Source organism: Homo sapiens, chromosome X, assembly GCF_000001405.40.
Source record: "Homo sapiens chromosome X, GRCh38.p14 Primary Assembly".
Classification (NCBI taxonomy): Eukaryota; Metazoa; Chordata; class Mammalia; order Primates; family Hominidae; genus Homo; species Homo sapiens.
The window spans coordinates 130,196,611-130,217,005 of NC_000023.11; the positions used below are offsets into that span (position 1 = coordinate 130,196,611).

At 39.2% G+C, this 20,395-nt stretch overlaps 1 protein-coding gene across 2 annotated transcripts in view; it reads right to left on the reverse strand.

Moving 5' to 3' along the window:
* The window catches only part of ZNF280C (zinc finger protein 280C), a 66,193-nt gene continuing 51,894 nt past the window's right edge, over positions 6,097–20,395 (reverse strand). For both annotated transcript variants that reach the window (XM_006724765.4, NM_017666.5), the window contains 6 exons: positions 19,181–19,491; positions 18,583–18,723; positions 13,043–13,105; positions 8,687–8,805; positions 8,507–8,543; positions 6,097–8,382 (listed from right to left, as the gene is read on the reverse strand). In XM_006724765.4, coding sequence (XP_006724828.1) covers positions 8,367–8,382; positions 8,507–8,543; positions 8,687–8,805; positions 13,043–13,105; positions 18,583–18,723; positions 19,181–19,491 — 687 coding nt within the window. In that variant the 3' untranslated portion in view covers positions 6,097–8,366. The remainder of the gene's footprint in view (positions 8,383–8,506; positions 8,544–8,686; positions 8,806–13,042; positions 13,106–18,582; positions 18,724–19,180; positions 19,492–20,395) is intronic.

The following is a 20,395-nucleotide window of genomic DNA, read 5'->3' on the forward strand; positions in this document are numbered from 1 at the left end:
CTGGGAATTATAAGCCAAAGTTATGAATAACCACAATGTTGATGGATTGCCACTAAAACTGTCAGAGAAGATTCCACTGATGTGTTGTTTCCAGGGTCTCAGCAGTAGTGATAGTAACAGCAGTAACAGAATTAACAGCAATAACAGCTGAAGCAGCAGCAGGAGTAGCAGTAACATCAGCATTGTTTATTCATTGTCTACTCTGTCACGCCAGAGCCAAACGTTATACATATATAATATACAGATGGTCCTCGAGTTACAATGGTTTGACTTATGAGTTTTTTTTTTTTTTTTTTTTTTGAGATGGAGTCGTGCTCTGTTGCCCAGGCTGGAGTGCAGTGGCGCCACCTCGGCTCACTGTAACCTCCGCCTCCCAGGTTCAAGCAATTCTCCAGCCTCAGCCTCACAAGAAGCTGGGATTACAGGCACACGCCACCATGCCCAGCTAATTTTTGTATTTTTTTTTTTTAGTAGAGACAGGGTTTCACCATGTTGGCCAGGCTGGTCTTGAACTCCTGACCTTGTGATCCTCCCGCCTTGGCCTCCCAAAGTGCTGAGATTACAGGCATGAGCCACCGTGCCCGGCCAGACTTATGACTTTTGTTGTTGTTGTTGAGACAGAGTCTTTCTCCCTCGCCCAGGCTGGAGTGCAGGGGCACCATCTTGGCTTACTGCAACCTCCGCCTCCTGGGCTCAGGTGATCCTCCCACCTCAGCCTCCAGAGTAGCTGGGACTACAGGCGTGCACCACCACACCCGACTAATTTTTGTATTTTTAGTACAGACGGGATTTCCCCATGTTGGTCAGGCTGGTCTTGAACTCCTGGGCTCAGATGATTTGCCTGCCTCTGCCTCCCAAAGTGCTGGGATTATAGGCATGAGCCACCACGTCCAGCCAACTTATGATTTTTTGACTCTACAATGCTGTGAAAGGGATACACACACCTTCAGTAGAAACTGTACTTCAATTTTTTTTTCTGGGCTAGCAATATGCATTAGGAGATTCTCTCGTGATGCTGGGCAGTGGCAGCGAGCCACAGCTCTCAGGCAGCCATGAGATCACAAGGGGTAAACAACCAAAAACACATTGTACTGTGTTGCCAGTAGAGTTTGCCCAACTGTAGGCTAATGTAAGTGTTCTGAGCACATTCGAGGTAGGCTAGGCTAAGCTACGATGTTAGGTAAGTTAGGTGTGTTAAATGCATTTTCAAGTTATGATATTTTCAATTTAGGATGGGTATGTCATAATGCAACCCCATTGTAAGTTGAGGAGCGTTTGTGTATATATATTCCTTACAACTTTGCAAGAATATCACCATTACATGCCTCTCACTGATGAGGAAGCTGAGACTGAACAAGTTCAGGTAATTTACTCAAGGCTACACAGCTGTTCAGATACAAAACCAGGATTGAAACCTAGGACTGTTATTTCGAGGCTACACTCTCTTCAGCAGCCCCCCCAGCCACCGAATATCACAGTGGTATGGACAAACAGATATTTTTCAGTGTGGAGGATTAGAAACAGTAGAAGTCATGCACAGCAGCCTCTCCAAGTTTGTTGATGATATTAAGCTTTTTCAGGTGGTCAAATACCAAACTGACAAGAATCAAACTGCAGAAGGGTTTCAAAATCAGAGAAGAGAGGTATATGAGTATGAGCATGAGGTGAACTATGGTGTGGCCAAGTATAAGGTAGCATAATATAGGGGAAATATCTTAATACTATTAGATTGGTGCAAAAGTAATTGCGGTTTTTGCCATTGAAAGTAATGGGAAAAACCGTGATTACTTTGGCACTAACCTAATATTTATAAATGACAATTACGACTAAAGTGAACCCAGGAGCATTGATAGACATTCCTTAAAAATATTAGTCTGGTGAGCTTGAGAAACCAAGAAATATAATGGTATGCTTATCTTTAGTACTATGTGCTTCAACAGTGACCCTCAAGAAAGCCACTGGGTTAGGAAAAGAGAGTTAATAGTCATTGATTGTGAAGGTGGTGTGAGGAGGCTGGAATGAAAAACTGGGTGAAGATTCGAACTATTTCTATCTGAATAAAATTAAGACAAATAAAATCAGGAAAGGTAGTCACAATGTAGCAATAATCGTAACAATGTTGGATTGCATTCCTGTGTGCCAATCACTGTTCTAAGTGGGATATACATATACTGTATTAACTCAATTAATTCCCTCAATTCTGAGTAGATGCTGTTACATGCAATTTACAAATAAGGAAAATGAGACACAGAGCCTAAAGTCACACACACAAATCTAATCACTGGTAGGGGAGGAATTCCAACCTAGGCAGTCTGCTGCAGAGCCTGGGCTCTAACCACTCCACTGCACTGCACCTGTAAGGGTGCAGAGAGGGTTTACTGCAGAGTCAGGTATTGAATCTTGGACCTTGTAATCCTAGTATTAAGACACTCTCTTGAAGCTGTTTAAACAGGAAGTAAGACTTTACAGAGTAAGAAACTCGTTAATGGATAATAGGCTGAAAATAGTAATAGTTCCAAGAAAAGTAGGTAGATTAATAAGCCAAGCATGAGTTACAGAGAAGCTAGATACGATTAAGTCTGAAACTTCTCGAGTTTGAAATCATGTAAAGTGACTGTCCGTTATGTATTCCTTAGATTTTATGAACACAATGACCATACTATTTTTCCTGATATAATTTCCAAAAATATGAAAATGATTTTTTGAGAGCCTTGCTCTGCCACCCTTGAGTGCAGTGTGTGGGTTTATTTCTGGACTCTCATTCTATTCCACTTCTCTTTTTCTACCCTGTGGCAGGACCACACTGTTCTGATTACTTTAGCTTTGTGCCAAGTGTTTTTTCTTTTTTTTGATGGAGTCTCACTCTGTCACCCAGGCTGGAGTGCAGTGGTGCGACCTTGGCTCACTGCAACCTCCGCCTCCCGGGTTCAAGTGATTCTCCTGCCTCAGCCTCCCAAGGAGCTGGGATTACAAGCGTGTGCCACCACACCAGGCTAATTTTTGTATTTTTTGGTAGAGACAGGTTTTCGCCATGTTGGCCAGGCTGGTCTCAAACTCCTGGCCTCATGATCCACCCGCCGCGGCCTCCCAAAGTGCTGGAATTACATGCATGAGCTGCCACGCCTGACATGAAAATGATTATTGCTAGCCTCGTTACATGTTCCACCTTACAAGTGGTTCATGAACACCCTCAATAGTGTCTGTTGTTGTTCCCTTGTGTTCATGAGTTCTCATTTTTAGCTCTGAGAACATGTGGTATTTGGTTTTCTGTTCCTGCGTGGATATTTCATATAAACGGAATCACACAACATATGACCTTTTATGACTGTTTTCTTTCACTTAACATAATGTTTAAGAGGTCCATACACACTGTAGCAAGTATCAGCACTTTGTTCTTTTTTGTGGCTGAAAAATATTCCGTTGTATGGACACACCATAACTTTTGAGACAGAGTCTTGCTTTGTCACCCAGGCTGGAGTGCAGTGGTGTGATCTCAGCTCACTGCAACCTCTGCCTCCCAGGTTCAAGTGATTCTTGTGCCTCAGCCTCCCCAGTAGCTGGGACTTCAGGCACCCACCACCACACCCAGCTAATTTTTGTATTTTTAGTAGTGACGGCGTTTTGCCATGTTGCACAGGCTGGTCTCAAACTCCTGATCTCAGGTGATCCACCTGCCTCGGCCTCCCAAAGTGCTGGAATTACAGGGATGAACCACCGCGCCCGGCAACACACCATAATTTATTTATCCCTTTATCTGTGGGTGACATTTAGGCAATTTCTATCTTTTGGCTATTGTGAATAGTGCTGCTATGAACATGCATATACAAGTATCTGAGTCTCTGCTTTGGATTCTTTGGAGTGAAACTGCCGGGTCATATGGTAATTCTACACTTAACCTTTTTGAGGAACTGCCAAACTGTTTTTCATAGTGGCTGGACCATTTTACACTGCCACCAGCAATACATGAGGGTTCCAATTTCTGCCTCAGGGCTTTTGCACTTGTTTCCCCTCTCTAGAAAGCTCCTCTGACAGATACCCAGGTGGCTCACTTCCTCACCTCCTTCAGGTCTTTACTCAAATGCCATCTTCTCAAGGAGGCCCAACTTGACCATCAAATTTAAAACGGCAACCTCTCAACCACCAACCTGTATGTTGCTATCTCCCTTATTTTCCTCCGTAGACTTCATCACCATTAACATACTATACGTTATTTACTTTCTATTGTCTGTCTCCCAACACAGAAATTTAAGTCCCATGAAGGCAGAGATTTCAGTTTGTATTTCCAACAACTACAACAGTGCCAGGCACATAGTAGGTAATATTTACCGAATAAATGAGACTGAGAGGCTGGGCGCAGTGGCTCAAGCCTGTAATCCCAGCACTTTGGGAGACCGACGCGGGCGGATCACAAGGTCAGGAGATCGAGACCATCCTGGTGAAACCCAGTCTCTACTAAAAATACAAAAAATTAGCTGGGCGTGGTGGCAGGCGCCTGTAGTCCCAGCTACTCGGGAGGCTGAGGCAGAATGGTGTGAACCCGGGAGGCAGAGCTTGCAGTGAGCTGAGATCGCCCCATTGCACTCCAGCCTAGGCGACAGAGCGAGACTCCGTCTCAAAAAAAAAAAAAAAAGAAAAAAGACTGAAAGAGGTGTTTTGCCAAAATGTGACACAAAGAAGGGCAAGAATCTAAGTCTTTGTCATTTAGTGTTTTTTTAAAAAATAATAATAGTGATGGACTGAAACTGAGCCAACCATACCTTTTATTCAGTTGAAAACAAAAAAGGACACATGCATGACATGGCTATTTCTGAATCAGGTGAAATAACTAACAGTCTGAAGGTGAAGAGGGATCAGATTGTCAAGCTAAAACTCACTAACACCTATTAAAACTCAACTGCTTATAACAAGTAAGCTTAGTACTGACTGCATAAATAGTTTTATTTAAACAAAGTTTAAAAAAAGTGATGCTATGGGACACATAACTTCCAGAGCATTAAACTTTAAAATAACTTGATACATAGTATAAGAAACAGAATCCTATGGAAGAACACAAAACTGTACCTCTACCTAAAATACTGCTATAGCAAGAATGTGGTTTTCTGTATTTTTGAACTGTGATAGAGACAGAGAAAATATCTGTAAATAAAAAGAAGACCAATGCTAAAAATGCAAATAAGTTGTTATTTCTGGGAAAAAGTTTAAAACTTAAAGTTGGGTGTCATTAATGCTGCTGAATGAAAATGATTTTAAATGGCAAATTTCATACATTTTACCATAATAAAAAAAGTAAAAAAAAAATGGGTAGAAAAATGGTGTTTGACAAAACATCCTAGAGAAAGGTATGGAAAGAAAAGGATTACCAAGTCCACGACTATGACATAAGCCCCTTTTGGAGATTTGGGAAAATCATTTAGAGCAGAAATCTGTTTGGAAAATTAAAATTAATGGATTCAACTCCTGACTATGAATTGCAAGGAGTATACTACATAGCAGTGGCCAATGACACTGGCTTTCAGTGTTTCAAAGTATATCAAAGCAGTTTTAATTTTCTTTTTTTTTTTAAAGCAGGGTCTTGCTTTGTGGCTTAGGCTGGAATGCAGTGGCATGATCATAGTTCACTGCAGCCTCGAACTTCTGGGCTCAAGCGATCCTCCTGCCTCAGCCTCCTGAGTAGCTAGGACTACAGGCATATGCCACCACACCCAGCTTTTTTTTTTTTTTTTTTTTGTGGTAGGGACAGAGTGTTGCTATGTTGCCCAGGCTGGTCTTAAACTCCTGGCTCCCACCTCAGCCTCTCAAAGTATTGGGGATTACTGGCATGAGACATTGTACCTGGTCCAGTTCTAATTTTGGAGTTAAAAAACACCCATATTGAGTCAAATGACTTCAGAGCCTGCCCACCTTCATGACTATTAAGATCACAAAGGGGGCTTTTGCTAGCTGCTCAAGAAATTAGTAAAGTGTAAATAGTTTGCTTTTAACTGTGCTGGAGGAAAAAGTACAAGATGTGCTCAGCAGATAAAGCTTTCAGTCTGCAGGTCAAGCAATCAGGCTCCACGGAACTAGGAGCAAAGCAATGCTCCTATAGTTATATGATAGCTTTTATATGAAGTTATTTATTAGAAATTTCCAAGGCACTTTAACAATACAAATTTTATTAAAAAAATAACATCAAAACTGTTCAGCAAATCTGTATTCAATGTAACCAAAATAAACAAACAAGAAATTAAAAAAAATATACATCTATATATATATGAGCAAGAAACAAGTGCATTTTTTGGTCCCAATATTTTTTGAATATATTATCTTTATCCAGAGGAATTACATTAATGGCTAAGAAGGTATTATGTATTAGATGTATAGAAATGTAACTTTAAAACTTGTTTTAAGTTCTGTAAGAAGAGTTTTGCCAATTCTTTATGTCTTTGAAATCAGAATCCCTAAGCTAATGTTAATGATAGGCCCAAGACAGAGCATGTAATAATGTCTAATGGTCTGGACAAGTATGAAATTAAGAAGCTACCAATAAGTAGCTACACGAAATCTGTAGACAATTCTAAGAAATGTCTTGGAGTTTGTAATAAGAACAAAACAAACACAAAGAGAAGAGTTCAAAAGTAGACATAAAATGGACATCAGCAAATTTCATGAATCTGGGACAAAGAAGTGATGGAAAAATAAAATAGAGTAAAATAAATTTAAGAACAATATAAAACCTAGCTACCAAAATAAAATTAAAAAAAAAGTTTAAAAATGTGAGTATCGGTCGGGTGCAGTGGCTCACACCTGTAATCCCAGCACTTTGGGAGGACGAGGCGGACTGATCACGACGTCAGGAGATCGAGACCATCCTGGCTAACATGGTGAAACCCTGTCTCTACTAAAAATACAAAAAATTAAAAATTAGCCGGGCGTGGTGGCAGGCGCCTGTCATCCCAGGTACTTGGGAGACTGAGGCAGGAGAATGGCGTGAACCCAGGAGGCGGAGCTTGCAGTGAGCCAAGATCGCGCCACTGCACTCCAGCCTGGGTGACAGAGCAAGACTCTGTCTTAAAAAAAGAAAAAAAATAAAGTGAATATCAGTATTGCTGAAAATTCCTAGAATATTGGATAAAACTTTAAATGAAAACATGAATAACTGACTTTGGGAACTGTAATTGTAGAAATTTTGTTTTTCCAAAAACAAGAAAGTAACCTTGGTTCCCAATACAACCAGAATTTTGATATTCCTTGGACTGCATGCCTGCTAGAGGAAGATTAAAGAACAGCAGCCAAAATGGCTAAACGTCAGCCTGGATGTTGAAGCACTGATCTAAAAACAATATAAAACCAAGCTACCAAAATAAAACAAAATAAAATGTAAAAAATGTTTAAAAATGAGAATATTAGTATTGCTGAAAATTCCTAGAATACTGGATAAAACTTTAAATAACATGAACAACTGTGTCTTTGGGAACTGTAATTGTAGAAATTTTCTTTATCCAAGAACAAGAAAGTAACCTTGGTTCCCATACAATCAGAATTTTGATATTCCTTGGACTGCATGCCTGCTAGAGGAAAATTAAAGAGCAGCAGCCAAAATGGTTAAACGTCAACCTGGATGTTGAAGCACTGATCTCATGGACTTTTCTTGGTTAGAATCGACCCATAAGCTTAAGATCAAAAGCCAAAGCTCCCAATGGGAAGTTGTGCTCTATTTGGTGGGCCTTGAGGTCATCTCTGGCCAAATCAGCATCAGCCTTATGGGAGGTCAGTCAGGTAGGAAGGGACTCTCCCCAAGATCTGATTTCTGAAGGCCACAAACTAGAGGACGTCTCACAGTCAAATAATTCACATTTCTTGGAAAGAAAGAACAGGTATCAGTTGTGTCCATCAAAAGGGGACACTGTCCAGGAGTACCCTGGATATTTTTTGAAACTTATGTGTTGCTTCTTCATTTGAAAAATATGAAAAATAGAACAGTAATGAACAAGGAATGAAGAAAAAATGGTTATCTGACCTAAACATGTAAGACTTATAAGAAATTAAGAAAGCAGACAAAACAGACAGAAAAAGATGAACAGTCATATTATCTGGAATGTAATATTCTGAAGGCAAGTCAAGTATAGCAGAGAAAAACAAAAGGCATTTTTGGAGAGAGCCAACTGGAGAAAAAAATATGTTAAGATATGTTAACCTGACGCAAAGATAAGGTGGAATAACAATGTAGTGGCATCTGAAAGCTGAAAAGAGCTGAATAATGAGAGCTAGTGTCATAAACTTGGCTGTTTAACTGCCCTTTGTGTGAGAAAATACTTCAGAACTTTGAACTTAGGAACTTCCAACTTGTCTTGCACCAGGTTGCATGAACTCCATGGAGCAGGAATCTATTTCAATGAGCAGCTTTAAGAAAAAAAAAAAAAAACTTTAATATTTTTCATTTATATTAATATTAATGATTCATTAAAAAATACAACAGTGCTAAAGTCCATCAAAGCAAAATGCACTGAAGGAAAATTAAACTTACCCAGTAGTGGGTTCAGAAGTTGAGGTACTTTTGGAAACTGAAATCAAAAGAGTTTTACATTTACAATAGCATATATGAAGAGTGAGACTATCAATTTAATACATGGGTCCATATGGTGTCCGATCAAAAGTACTGAAATAAATATCAGAAAATCAAAGAAACACAATTATATATACGTACCATTCTCTATTATAACTTGGCAAGTATGAGTTTTACGTTGACTTAAGTGTTTAGCCATACGATCTAAGCCGGAAGAATCAGCTAGGAAATCACATTTAAGGCACACTAGAGTAATGCCCCTATGAAAAAAAAGAAGACAGTAAGAAATATTCTTATCATTTATGAAAATCCATATGAGCTCAATAATTACTTTTCCATGTACTAACTTGATTTGCATTTTAGTCTCCACAACCGTCATTTTCCAATTTTGTTATATAAACTTGATATATTTAAAATAGTTCTCTAGAAAATGGCATCGCTGGCCAGGCACGGTGGCTCATGCCTGTAATCCCAGCACTTTGGGAGGCAGAGGTGGATGGATCACCTGGGGTCAGGAGTTCGAGACCAGCCTGACCAATATGGTGAAACCTCGTCTCTACTAAAAATACAAAAATTAGTCAGGCATCATGGCGTGAGTCTGTAGCCCCAGCTACTCTCAGCTACTTGGGAGGCTGAGACAGGAGAATTGCTTGAACCCAGGAGGCGGAGGTTGCAGTGAGCCAAGATTGTGCCACTGCACTCCAGCTGCGAGACTATGTTAAAAAAAAAAAAAAAAAAGGAAAAGAAAATGGCATCGCCATATTCAAATTACGCTAACATTTAGTGCTTTATAAATTGTCACCTCTCAACTTGTTGCTGAAAGCTAGGCATCAAGAGACTCAAAGCCAAGTCTCCCTTAACAACTTAAGTAATGTGTGCAAGTTATTACTTACAAAGCAAGGATATAATATTCATTCACTGAAATATATAAATATTCATTTGCTGACAACCTTCTTCACCCACACTGTACTACTAGGTATTGTAGATATAACAGTAAACAAAAAAGGTACAGTGTGTGGATTCTGCAATCTAGTATCTTAGTCAAATGAGGATAAAATTAGAAAAGAAATGTGAAGGTTTTAAAATCCTGTAATTATCAGTTTATTAACAAAGCATACATATACTTTTGAAGTTCATCAGATACTTTAAACTTAAATATTTCACCTCTATAGGAAACCAGTGCATACCTTGGATTGACTTCTTTAGTTTTTTTTTTTTTTTTTTTTTTTGAGACGGAGTCTGGCTCTGTTGTCCAGGCTGGAGTGCAGTGGCACAATCTTGGCTCACTGCAAGCTCCGCCTCCCGGGTTCATGCCATTCTCCTGCCTCAGCCTTCCAAGTAGCTGGGACTACAGGCGCCTGCCACCACGCCTGGCTAATTTTTTTGTATTTTTTAGTAGACAGGGTTTCACTGTGTTAGCCAGGATGGTCTCAATCTCCTGACCTCGTGATCCACCCGCCTCGGCCTCCCAAAGTGCTGGGATTATAGGCGTAAGCCACCGTGCCTGGCTACTTCTCTAGTTTTAACAACCTGTTGTGGATTTACACCTAGCCAGAACTCCTGCACATCAAAAATTATCTTCATAAAACTGGAATCATGTGCTTTCCCCATGAAATTTAGGGGGAAAGTCTCTTTTATGATGCCATTTCCCTAATACTGAGGCTCAAATTTGTAGTTATCTCTGACTTTCTTCTTACGTAAAACATTCAATATTTCAAACGTTTTATGATGTTAACGATTTATCGAGTACTTACTCTATGCCAGTCTGAGGGTTTTAGACATTATTGCCTGATCTAAATCTTATGGCAACCCAAAGAGATAGGTGCTACAATTATTACCTTTTTACAGAGGACAGAATTAGTTTCAGTAATCTACTGAGGCCAGGATCAGGTTGGAAATGGAGCCCTTTGATTCTGAAGCCCATGCTCTTAAATATGATGTGATACCACCCCACCACCTCAGCCCAGGGCATTATTAAGTAAGTCTTAACCACTACAATAGCCTTAACCAGCCTATGTGTCTCATGCAGCTACAACTCATCCTGTATACTCCTCCAAAGTGATCTTCCTTCAGCACCCTTGATTCTACTCAAAACATCAATGGCTTCCCCAATGTCTTCCAAATGAAAATTAAGCCCAAACTCCCCAGCCTTGTTTTCAAGGATTCAACAATCTGCATCTAAGTTCAAAACTATCTCCCCAGACTGATCTTTTTTTATTTTTGGAATGGAGTCCCACTCTGTCACCCAGGCTGGAGTGCAGTGGCGCGATCTCGGCTCACTGTAACCTCCACCTCCCGGGTTCAAGTGATTCTCTTGCCTCAGCCTCTGAGTAGCTGCGATTACAGGCGCACACCACCATGCCCGGCTAATTTTTTTTGCATTTTTAGTAGAGATGGGGTTTTGCCATGTTGGCCAGGTTGGTCTTAAACTCCTGACCTCAGGTGATCCACCCACCTCAGCTGCCCAAAGTGCTGGGATTACAGGCATGAGTCACCGTGCCCGGCCAACTTTGATCTTAATATAATACTATGCTATATGAACTTTGTGCTTCATCCAAATTTTACTCCTAGTTATTCATTGTCATTCCGGAGAATGTGTATAGTTTCTGCATTTTCCTTTCTGAACTTTTATTCATGTTATTTCTTCCAACTAGAATGCCCTTGTGCCTCTTCTTGTAAGTAGAAACCTTTCTCCCCTTTGAAATCTGTATCTCTCACTGCACTTACTAGAAACCTCTTTGAATTACTGTAGTTATTTATGTTCACACCTTATATCCATACCCCTTTAATAAATTGTACATTCCTTGAAGGTTGGTACAAGCCTTCTTCATCACGGTCATCTGTATAGGACTTCCTACGCTGTATTATACATGATAGGTACACAATAAATAGCTAAAGAATATTTCATTTTAACAAAATAGTAATTATGAAAAAATTGTTTATAGAAATACAAAATGCTATGTCCATACACAGATTTTTTTAAAAAAATTTTTTGAGACCGAGTCTCACTGTGGCCCATGCTGGGGTATAGTGGCGCAATCTTGGCTCACTGCAACCTCCGCCTTCCAGGTTCAAGCAATTCTCGTGCCTCAGCCTCCTGAGTAGCTGGGATGACAGGCATGCGCCACCACGCCCGGCGAATTTTTGTATTTTTAGTAGAGACGGGGTTTCACCATGTTGGCCAGGCTGGTCCTGAACTCCTGGCCTCAAGTGATCCACCCGCCTTGGCCTCCCAAAGTGCTGGGATTACAGGTGTGAGCCACTGCACCCGACCCATACACAGAATTTGATCAATTTTCTATTCAGATGTGAGATCCACTCAAGTTGAAAAAAAAGCACCTCAGATCTTTCAAATCATACAGTTAATTTAAAAACCAAGCATACAATTGAGCTTGACCATAATGTGGTAAAAATCAAATCGAAGTCTCATCTTTAGAATTAAATCTCTTTTCATTCTTATAAGCATTTTTCAGTAAAGGTAACACCTAATATATTTTACTCTTTTCTAATTCCTCGAATTCAATGCTTTAAAAATAGCATAATTTTTTTTTTTTTTTTTAGATGGAGTTTTGCTCTTTTGCACAGGCTGGAGTTAAGTGGTGCAATCTCGGCTCACTGCAACCTCTGCCCTCCGGGTTCAAGCGATTCTCCTGCCTCAGCCTCCCAAGTAGCTGGGATTACAGGTGCCTGCCACCATGCCCGGCTAATTTTGGTATTTTTAGTAGAGACAGGGTTTCGCCATGTTGGCCAGGCTGATCTCGAACTCCTGACCTCAGGTGATCCACCCGCCTCAGCCTCCCAAAGTGCTAGGATTACAGGTGTGAACCACTGCACTTGGCCTAACATGAGTATGTTTTAAAAATACAATAAAAATTTCCTCTATGAGCTGTTGGTCCAACATTATCCACATAATTCATTTTCAACATATACATTAACTTATTCAACAAATATTTACCAAGTGCCTACTATGTGCCAGGTACTATGTGCCTGGCAAACATCTGTCAACATGAGCAAAATAATTAACAAAGGAAGATGGAGTCAAAAGATAACAAAATAATGTAAAAAAACAGATGTTTAGTTGATTCTGAGCTAAATGTGTGTGGTGTAACCAATGGTAATTATCAATGCCTTTAGAAATATTCATCAATTTTTTTTCTGTACAGTAAACAACTTATATACTTTAATTCTAAAAACATTAACAATTATGAAGGCTATATATTGATTTCAAGTATTATGGTATTTTCATAAACTTACTTCTATTCAGATATGGTTGGAGAACCTTATTTTTGTTATTTTACAAACGCAAATACATGAAGGTTTCATCTTAATGCTTGGCACTACAGAGTTTAGTCAGAGATGATAGGCTATCCCTCCAACTTTGGTCCAAGGACATAATAAACAGAACTCTATCATTTCCAAAGCAGGCACTCCAACATCAAGTTTTAAAAAGTTACTGCAATATTTCAATTGAAAGAAAAAAAAAAGATCAATGATTACCTGAGAGTTCCTGAATGCTTCTTGAAAATACAAAACCGTTTACCTGGATGGTTGCTATGAGAGCTGGAGAAACACGAGACAAACAAGATTTTATTAATTTTATTATACAACACCATATTAATTTTCTGACCACATTTCAAGCCAATGCTTAATTTCTTAGTTTTGAATAAAAGATCATGATCTAAATAATAAAATTCTGTTGGTTAAAGCTATAATCTGAATTTCTGTGTCACCCCAAAATTCATGTTAAAATCTTAACCCCCAAAGTGATGGCATTAAGAGGTGGGGCCTTTGGGAGGTGATTAGGTCATGAGGGCAGAGCCCTTATGAGATTAGTGCACTTATAAAAGAGATCCTAGAGAGCCAGTGTGCCCCTTCCACCATGTGAGGACGCAGTGAGAAGGTGCTGTCTATGAGGAATGGGCCCTCACCCAGACACCGAATCTGCCGGCACCTTGATCGTGGACTTTCCAGCCTCCAGAACTGTGAGAAATAAATTTCTGTTGTTTATAAGCTACCCAGTCTATGGTATTTTGTTATAGCAGCCTGAATGGACGAAGACAGTCATCTCTGTTTAATTCAAGAATTTTAACTTACATTCCACTTTACCTTTATATTTTCTAATGACATATTTCCCTGAGAATTTTCTTAGATGATCAGTACCTCACCATTACTAAAAACAATGCTTGAGTTAAAAATGCAGTGTCAAATTAAAGTTTTTTAACTATTAAGAGAACAATTTAAAGGATATTTGATAATGTATTTTGCTATGATAGAAATTGTTATAATAATTATTATTTTTTGTTTCAGACAGTCTTGCTCTGTCACCCAGGCTGGAAAATAATAATTACTTATTACATTTTAATCTTAATATGTTTGGGGAGGGGGATAATCTGAATGATCCTGGAAGTAAACACTACTTGAGATAAAGGCCATTGCTTAATTCAATAAACATGAAACATTTAAAGAGTCCTTTGCAATTACCAGGAGAACTTTCAAAGAGAGCAAATTAAGGAGCAGAGCTCATGAATTAAAACAATGCTTCTCCTACACACAGATCAGAAAACCACTAATCAAGCTTCACAGCCAATGGTAATAGCTTTTATGCCTCCCTTTAAAATGATAAGGAAAGCCTTCCTGTGTTAGACAACCAGGCAAGATTAGCCAGGATTAGCCTAGCACAGTATTACTCAAAGTGTGGTCCATGGACCAGCATCATCAGCATCACCTAGAAGCTTGTTAGAAACACAAAGTTTCAGGCCTTACTGCAAACATAGTGAACTAATCTCTGGCAGTGGGGCCCAGAAATCTGTTTTCCCAAGTTTTCCAGCTGATTCTTATGCAAGCTAGTTTGAGAAGCACTAGCCCTATCTTGCACTGACAGACCCAACACAGCAGGTCAACAGTTACCCTCAGACACAAGGTAACCATCACCAGCTTACTATATATGCATGGGAAAATAAAGATTCTGGCTAGCTGTAATTCCAAGAAAACATCCTCAGAATAGGCACCATGGTGAATACAACGAAAGAGCTTCTTTCTCAAAGAGGTAATAGAGACACATGTGAGGCAGAAGAGCAGAATGTTACGGAACTCAAAGAAAGGAATGATTCTTGTGACTGGCTGTGCTGATCAGATACTTCACAGAGGGTGAAACGAGAGGAAGGAGAGGGGCATTTCAGAGAATAATCAAGAATAAGAAAAACTACTTTAGATACTGAATATGAAGAGCCTATACATTGGGGAAGATAGATCAATTTTGAGGGCCTGTCTTCTCATAAGAGTTGGCATAGCCTGGGAATAAAGGTACTCAACCTCTGAGAAAATGAAGCCTCTGAACATACAGAACTCAAACCTATGACAAAAGTCCACACCGAGTAGGAGTGAGGGTGCACCATTCAGAGGAAGGTACCTGAAGCAATGAGGGAAACAGTGTACCCTTGAAGTAGGGGAAAAGCAAAGGGACCTACGAGGCCCTCAGAAGAGTAGAAGTGGAAGCTTTCAGTTCTAGATGAGGTTAATGATGAGTAAGAGCTCAATGTGTGTGATGACAGTGCAGGGGCTCACCAGAAATTAGGAAAATGTTATGAAGGTAACTTTAGGTCAATTGGGAATGTCTGGGGATAGAATGGGGCTGAAGGTTCTACAAGACAGTTGGTGAGCCTATGGAAAATGGGAGAGGGGAGGACGGAATGACACATGGGTTTAAGTAATGCCAAAAATATTTTCCAATTTAATCCTCTATAAATTAGTGGCAGAATTAAAGCCTCACTAGGGCAGCCAAGTGTTTAGCACAGAATAAGAGAACAATATTAATCACAGCAGTGTACTGGGGGAAGGGTTGGCTAGGGTCTGCTTTAGAGAAACTGGGGTATAGGTGCAGAACCACTGTAGTAGTGGAAGAGGCAGACTGGTAAACTGCAAAAGGTGGACTCTCCGGAAGCTAGGATGTATAGTGGCAGATCAAGAGAACTCCATGGGCTTCAGAAACTTGGGATAGTAAATTATTTCTAGCTGGTGCTTCATGTTTATGCAAATGATGCCCTGAAACAGACTGAGCTTAAAGGGTATTGAAGTAAAAGTGGTTTGAATCCTAGTTAGAAACAAACAGTTGGGTCTCAGGGAAACTCGGCTTTGAAATCTAGAGGATTTACAGTTGAAAGGTAAAAGATAAAACTTTAAGAATGGTTAAGGTACCAAGAAAGGGATTATAAGGGGACAAGAACAGTTGAAGGGAGAAAAGATAATTACATAGAGGAGTAGCAGCCAAAAGGAAAGAAGAAAAATGGTGGTAACAGTTTAACAGACAGAAGTTGAGAAGAGTTCCAAAAGTAAGTGATCAAAAATGTCAAATACTCTGAAGAAGTCATAGAGGAGTAAGAATGAAAAATAATGAGTACATCCAGTAGTTAGGATATGACTGATAACCTTTAAAGGAGAAGCTTTAGCTGTATGTAGGTGGCGTTGGGGGGTGGGGGGGTGACACTCAAATCACAAAGAGTCAAAAAATGACAAACAGGCTAGTAAAGAATACTCTTTATAAATGTTGATGGTAAATGGAGGAACAAGAAAGCATGCAAAGTAAAGGCAGATCTTCCTCATCCTAAAAACAAGCCTGAAAATATCTACAGACACAATGAATGTGGTAGAGAGAAAGAGATGAACTGAAGGTCCAAAATAATGAAATAAGGGTGTGGAGGAAATGCAAGAGATGACGAACAGGGTTAACTTAAAAAAAGTGGGACATGTCTGTTTTTTGAGATTAATGTCTGAAGGAAAAAAAACCTTGAGACAGGAAAAAGTTAATCTTGAGAAAAACGAAAAGTATGACCTCTGAGTAATTATTAGGCAAGGTTAACAACTGAGGGACTAGAATAAAATCTGACAGATGTTGTAGATAAAAACAAAGTGGTATTTTTGGCCGGGCGTGGTGGCTCACGCCTGTAATCCCAGAACTTTGGGAGGCCGAGGCGGGCGGATCATGAGGTCAGGAGATCGAGACCATCCTGGCTAACATGGTGAAACCCCGTCTCTACTACAGATACAAAAAAAATAAAAATAAAAATAAAAATTAGCCGGGCGTGGTGGCGTGTGCCTGTAGTCCCAGCTGCTGGGGAGGCTGAGGCAGCAGAATGGCATGAACCCGGGAGGCGGAGCTTGCAGTGAGCCGAGATCATGCCACTGCACTCCAGCCTGGGTGACAGAGCAAGACTCCATCTCAAAACAAAACAAAACGAAACAAAAACAAAGCGGTATTTTTAAAAGGGCAGGACCAAATTAAAGATCATGAATTCAGAGCTGATTGAATCAAGCATGGTGTGGTAGTCTAGAACTGAGCATAGGGATACATCAAAAAGGATAAAAGATGCAAAGATAGCAAGACTAAGCATGCCTGAAGATATAAAGGATTTTAGGACAGAAACAAAGCAGCATTCAAAACAGAAGACCTTGAGGGCATGGTTGGCTACAAAATTGAATTGATACTACTGGACTAGAAAAAGGGGTCAAGACTCTGAAAGTCATGGGGTAATGAGAATTCAAAATAAGTATTGTCTACAATGAGGTAAAATGGGATGGTGTTAAGAAAGGGGATACAACAAAGCAGAAAGGGATGTAAAGTGCTAGCACTAAAGAAGTAAAGGTATCATAAGGTCAGGCTGACCACCAAAGGGAAAAAAATCCCTGCAAGCCAGGTGCTGAAGCCATCAAAAAACGTGGGTGAATCCTTCAAAGTGGTAGCTGATTATGAGCAGAAAATAATATAGAGGTCTTGTTATAATCTGCAAGAAAACAACTTTTATTGGTTATACCTATTTCTTTTTTAAAAAATAGAAATGAGGTCTTGCTATGTTGCCCAGGCTGGTCTTGAACTCCTAGGCTCAAGCAATCCTCCCTCCTTGGCCTCTTAAAGTGTTGGGATCACAGGCATGAGCCATTGTGCCTGGCTAGTTGTATCTTATTTCTAACTGAAAATAAATGGAACTATCTTAATTAGAATAATGAACTTATATCTGGAAACTTTTTGGTTATTTAAAATAAAATCCAATCTGAAGGAATAAAGCAAGCCCCTGTGAATGAGGTTCAAATGAAAGTAAGGGGGGCTCTGAAGTCTTTCCCTTGTGTAGAGTAGACCATAGGTGCTCAAATTAAGTTGAATCAATGCATGAAAAGGAATTCTAACGGTAGCATCATGACTGGAATATTCCTACAGTCTCTTATGTTTCATTGAATGAATGCAAAGATGGATGATCATAAAGACAAATGGACAGACAGATGCGGGAGACAGAGACAGGATAATGTTCTTAGCATCATTAAAAAGCCTGGAACCTCTCAAAGTGATCGCTGTGAAGAGGATAACACTCAGGAAATTACATATACAGGGGTCCCTGTATCCATGGGGGATTGGTTCTAGGACCTCCTGCAGGTATCCAAATCTGCAGAGACTCAAGTCTCTGATATAAAATGGCATAGTACTTGCACATAAACTATACATATCCTGCTGTATACTTTAAATCATCTCTAGATTTGTGAACCTATGATACCTAATACAATGTAACTGCTATTACATAGTTTTATACTGTATTGTTTAGAGAATAATGGGAAAAAGGTTTGCACATGTTCAGTAAAGACCTAATTTTTTAAAAACACTTTTATCTACAGTTGGTTGAATCCACAGATGTGGAATGCAAGAGCTGATCATATTTATTTGATAAATATATTGAAAACACTTAACATTTTATGTTAAAAAATAACCACTTTTTGAAAGACATAAAAGAAAAAAAAGTCCCATAGAAAAAACAAATTTCCCTAACAAACTCATTTTAATTTCATTAGTCTAATTGTTCTCAGAGTTTTTGTCCCAGTAATTTTATGAGTTACTATGCTGGAAAATAGTACAAGGAACATCTTAGAAGTTCCCTATTGCTAGACCCTTTTAGTTCCTTGATGAGACAAACTTGCTTTCAATAGGATAACTCTGTTTTCAAAAAACAAATGACCCAAATGGAAATTCTGATTGGCAGTTTACATGTTTAACTTACCTCATCATATGATTTACAAAGGCTTTGTTACAGTTAGTATTGTACTTGCAAAAACTGCAGTGGATGTATATAGAAAAGTGGCTTGCAAAATCTTTTATTTTGGAATGACATTCAATGCACTTGTGAATTCCCCGACGACACCTTATGGAGACGGAAAAAAAAGATAAAAAGAGATTATAAAACAAAAATAACAGGGGAAAATCTTATTAACATTTTATTAACTGAAGCCAAAATGTTTAAATTGGTATCTTTAAGTAGACTCATAATTTCAAAATTTGCTTTGAAACAAGCTAGAGTAAGTGTAAAAAATTTAACACCAGTTAACATTTCCCTGGAATAAAAGGGATCAAATAAACCAATTAATCTATCATAAGATAAAAGCACAAAATATAAGTTTAGTGTAAAAGATGAAAATTAGAGAATAAACACAATGACTCAAGTTCTGCTCAGCAGTTGTAAAAAGTACCTTTTTCTCATTTGCTTGGTCTTTATGCCAGATAAGTGATTATCATGTAAATGTGTAAGAGGGTTTTATGATATGATAAATTATATACATAAGATTAAATTTGTATTGTATATCAGGAATAAAAGATATTACCTTATGTTCTTCAAAGCAAGGCTCATTTTATTTTTTCTGTTGCGCTGTCGCTTTTGCTTGTAAGAGGGTTTTGCTTTGGACTTAGCTATACGTCCCCTTGGCTTACTTGTATTAACTTTACTTGCAGTGGATGTAGTTGCATGAAGCTTACTTGTCTTAGATCTACTGGCATTAGATTTTCTAGGATTTCTAGCAGTTGTATTTTGAGATGTCGGAGGTGTGACCTGAAGAAAAGAAGTGCCTGGAGCGCAACCGAAAGGTGCAGTTGGTAATTTTGACTGGAGAGGTCCAAGTGAAGCTCGAATAGTAACCTATAAAAACAAAGCCAATACATATTTTTAGAAAAGTAACCATCGCATTAGTATTAAAAATATCATTGTAAGCCGTAAATATCACATTTACGGTAAACTGGCAAGGGTCCCAAAACATTTCCAATGGGGCAAAAAATAGTCTTGATGAATGCTGCTACAAAAACTGATATCCATGTGCAAAAGAATGAATTTGAACCCTTACCTCATATTATATACAAAAATTATCTCAAAATGTATTAAAGACCAAATTCTAAAAGGTAAAACTATAAAACTCTTAGAAGAAAATACAGTAGTAAATTCTTGTGAGCATGAGTTAGGCAACGGTTTCTTATATATGACACCAAAAGCACAAGCAACCAAAGAGAAAATAGATGAATAGGCATTTCTTCAAAGAAGATATACAAACGGCCAATAAGCACACAAAGAGATGGTCCACGTCATTAGTCACCAGGGAAATGCAAATGAAATCCCAAATGAGATGTCCCTTCACCAACCAGAATGGCTATAATAAACAGACAATAACAAGTATTGGCTAGGACATAGAGAAATGCGAACCCTCATACATTGCTGGTGGGAATGCACAACAGTGTAGTTACAATGAAAAACAGTTTGGCAGGCTGGGTGTGGTGGCTTAGGCCTGTACTCCCTGAACTTTGGGAGGCCGAGGTGGGCGGATCACTTGAGGTAAGGAGTTTGAGACCAGCCTGGCCAACATGGTGAAACTCCATTTCTTTTAAAAATACAAAAAATTAGCCAGGCATGGTGGCAGGTACCTGTAATCCCAGCTACTCGGGAGGCTGAGGCAGGAAAATTGCTTGAACCCAGGAGGCGGAGGTTGCAGTGTGCCAAGATCGCACCACTGCACTCCAGCCTGGGCAACACGGCAAGACTCCGTCTCAAAAAC